The sequence below is a fragment of the Homo sapiens genome, chromosome X (assembly GCF_000001405.40).
Source record: "Homo sapiens chromosome X, GRCh38.p14 Primary Assembly".
In the NCBI taxonomy this organism is placed as follows: Eukaryota; Metazoa; Chordata; class Mammalia; order Primates; family Hominidae; genus Homo; species Homo sapiens.
The window spans coordinates 48177132-48181126 of record NC_000023.11 but is presented as its reverse complement, the minus strand read 5'-3'; the positions used below and the strand labels follow the sequence as shown (position 1 = coordinate 48181126).

Genomic DNA, 3995 nt, shown 5'->3' with positions numbered 1-3995 from the left:
TATCAGAGACATGGGCAACATTTGAGCCACAAAGAGGCCAGAAGGAAAAAAAAATCAGGCATGTTTGTCTGGAGTTCAGCATCAAGTTCCATCTTGTTAGTTCCATCTACATTAGCAATCATCTGGACGCACTGGGCTAACATCCTGTTGGGAGAACTGGCTGAACAAATATTACACAGGCAACAAGAACAGAGCTCAAAGATCATAATACCAAAATGAGCAGCAATTGTTTTATTTTATTTTATTGCAATGGACTTTTGCTCTGTTGCCCAGGCCGAAGTGCAGCAGCATGATCCTGGCTCACTCCATCTCCCGGGTTCAAGCGATTCTCCTGCCTCACCTTCTTGAGTAGCTGGGATTACAGGTGCCCACCAGCATGACTGGCTTATTTTTGTCTTTTCAGTAGAGACGGGGTTTCACCATGTTGGCCAGGCTGCTCTTGAACTCCTGACCTCAAGTGATCCGCCCTCCTTGGCATCCCAAAGTGCTGGGATTACAGGCGTGAGCCACCGCACCCAGCTATAATTAGCAATAGTATAATAAATTTAGTTTGTACAATGGTTTTGAACCAAGATCCCAAGACTAAGGTAAACACCAGCTAAACAAATAAAAAACTATGGGGGAAATGAGACCTCTTGTAGTCTGAGTAGCATTTTAGGACTGGGTTGAATTAAAGCAGAGTGCCAACTCTATAAAAGGGACCACTAGGTGAAGGAAAGAATTTGTGGGTCAGGTTCTGTCAAGTGAAAAATATAGACATTAAGGGGGTAAGAGTCTCATTATGATATGAAGACTTATTCTGACATCTTGGGAAAAGCTGTCTATAGCGTGGAAACGTCAACTTCTCATCTTGATTTTTCGTTCAAATGTCTCTGGTTATGGCATTGGACAGTTTGGTGAACTTTTTGTGTGGTCCATACATCAAGCACAAGACTTGTTCCTTAAGATGTATGCACTTTTGTCCTATAGGACTTGTAAATCAAAAATAAAATCCTAACCCCCGCCACCCCGCAACCATCTGAATGGACTTCTTCCTCAGCCAGGGCACTTTTAAAATTTAACCTGAGAGACGGTTTCAGGCCATGACAGGAAGCATGGGTCAGACATGCCTTATTATACCTCTCTGGCATCAACATCAACACAGACTTTCAGTCTAATAACAAACATGTTACAACCTATTATCTCTGAAGGCTAGTACCTGAAGGCTTCCTCTGCAAGTAATAACTTGGGTTTCCACAATCCTTTATCTTAACCCAACATTCCTTTCTGTTGATCCTATGGTTTTGTTTTGAGACAGAGTCTCTCTCTGTAGCCCAGGCTGGAGTGCAATGGGCGAGATCTTGGCTCACTGCAACCTTTGTCTCCTGGGTTCAAGCAATTCTTTTGCCTCCAGTAGTTGGGACCACAGGCGTGGGCCACCACGCCCAGCTAATATTTTGTCCTTTCAGTAGAAAAGGGGTTTTGCCATGTCGCTCAGCCTGGTCTTGAACTCCTGGCCTCAAGTAATCTGTCTGCCTCGGCCTCCCAAAGTGCTGGGATTCCAGGCATGAGCCAACATGCCTGGCCTACTAATTATGTTTATGATTGCTTAGGAAAACTGAGCTTTGAAAGGGTAAGTTTTTAAGTCCATGTAACTTTCTGTATTGCTTTTGAAGTCTGTTGACTATGACTCCTGCTAAATGAGTGACTATTATTTCACAGTGACCCGTGATCCTGTTTTGCACAAGTGTTTTGAGCCTTTTAACATCTTTGACAAACTTCCCCAAAATGCAATTCTTTTTTAATTTATCCATTGCTGTTGAACAAACTAATCAAATTCTAATTTAAGTCTTTTTAACCTAAAATTGACTTTGAGATTTACCAGTGAGGCCCCTGGAGAGCCTTAAAGAATGTGTCTCTCATTAGGCTTATTTGATATGTTAGATTATATGAAAAGCAATGTCAAATAATAAAAAATACTAATCACTATTTACATTTATATAGATATGTTATGGACTTTAATGTTCAGAAGATCATGTAAAATTTACAGAGGTCTGATGGTCCTGGTGTGATGCTATTAGTCATGATTCTGGTTGTTATCTTAAAATGCTCTCTATAATAGAAATAACTGAATTTTCTTGTCAATTATTGAACTTTCGTCAGATTTTAATCGTTACTATTCTAAGCTTTATCATCTACAGTACTGATTCTTCTCTAAAGGCATCCAGAATCAGATTCATAAAAAATATTTTAACAAGTACTGTTGAATATAGATTTGTAATAACTTTCAGATCAATGAACTAAATAAATTATTTTTGAAAACTCTAATGAAAATTGATGGGTTCATGCAACTGATTATCAAGATCAAGCAGAACAAACATCAATTATATGAGGCTAAATAACCAATAATGTTTTTATGAACTTTATTTAAAACTTTATTTATTCTTGGACTGGGTGCAGTGGCTCACACCTCTGATCCCAGCACTTTTGGAGGCCAGAACAGGAGGATCCCTTGAGTGCAGGAGTTCAAGACCAACCTGAAAAATATAGGAGACCTGGTTTCTGAAAGAAATTAAGAAAATACAAACTTCATTTGTTTTTTACCTAAATGTTTTGTTTTCCACCTTTAAGAAAATTTTCTGGTGGGATGTGGTTGCTCACTTTGGAAGCCAAGGCAGGAAGATCACTTGAGCCCAGGAGTTCAAGACCAGATTGGGCAACATGGCAAAAACCCTGTCTCTACAAAAACAAAAACATTAGCTGGGCATGGTGGCACGCGCCTGTGGTCCCAGCTACTTGCAAGGCTGAGGTGGGAGGAACACTTGAGTTGGGAGGCAGAGGTTGCAGGGAGCCGTGTTTGCACCACTGCACTCCAGCCTGGGTGACGGGGCACAATCCTTTCTCAAAAAAATGAAAACAAAGAGAAAATTTTCTCTGTTAAACTGTCTATAGTTTATAACAATTTTGTGAAGTATACTTTTGTTAACTAAGATGGAAATGTTTGCTTTTTCTTTCTACTCGATTCCTCCAGAATTTGAAACTATTTGGAAATATTCTTATGCCAATATGGTTATTTACACAGGTCCAGTAAAAACCTGCTCTTGGTGCCTCATTCAACTCCAACATGGCAAAAATCTCCAGCCCTACAGAGAGTCCCTGATTGCTGTTTTCCAGAAATAGACTGGAAAGGATGGTTACAATAGCATTCACTCCAAGACGGAGTTCCCAAGCTTCATGAATAGAGAACTGGATGCCTTCACGAAGAACCAGAAGGCCCCAGTGTCCTTGACCACATGATGAAGAAACTGGACCTCACCAGTGATGGGCAGCTAGATTTCCAAGAATTTCTGCATCTGATGGATGGTGTGACTGTGGCTTACCATGACTCTTTTTCAAAGGCTGCCCATTCCAAGAAGCAGATGTGAGGATCCCTTGGGCCTGGTTGCCAAGCCACCCTGTTTCCTTCCAGCCCCGCCATCACCATCTCCTCACAGCCCACAGGTCCCCTGAGCCCAGCACACCCACCACCTCACGCAGGCCCTATCTGCAGGTAGTAATAAAACCATTCCGTCCCCGGTGCTCTTCCACCCCTCCCCCTTCACCCCCTCCCCTCTCCCTTCTCCCCCTCCCCCTCCCCTCCTCTCCTGTCCCCTCCCCTCCTCTCCCTCTCCTCTCCTTTCCTCTTTTCTTCTCTCAACTACACCCACCTTCTCGTGCAGGCCCTACCTGCAGGTAGTTATAAAACCATACTTCTTTCACTTCTCTTTCTTCTCTTTCCTTTCTTTCTTTCTCGCTTGCTTGCTTTTTTCTTTTCTTTCTTTCTTTCTTTCTTTCTTCTTTCCTTTCTCTCTTTCTTTCTTCTTTCCTTTCTTTCTTTCCTTCTTTCTTTTCTTTTTTCTTTCTTTCTTTCCCTTTCTTTCTTTTCTTTTTTCCTTCCTTCCTTCCTTCCTTCCTTCCTTCCTTCCTTCTTTCTTTCTTTCTTTTTTAGAAATGGGGGCTAGTTATGTTGCCCAGGT

The 3995-nt window shown here is 41.7% G+C and overlaps 1 pseudogene; it reads left to right on the top strand.

The window, feature by feature from the left end:
- Nucleotides 1-3103: 3103 nt before the first annotated feature.
- S100A11P5 (S100A11 pseudogene 5) lies at nt 3104-3404 on the top strand (annotated as a pseudogene).
- Nucleotides 3405-3995: the final 591 nt, after the last annotated feature.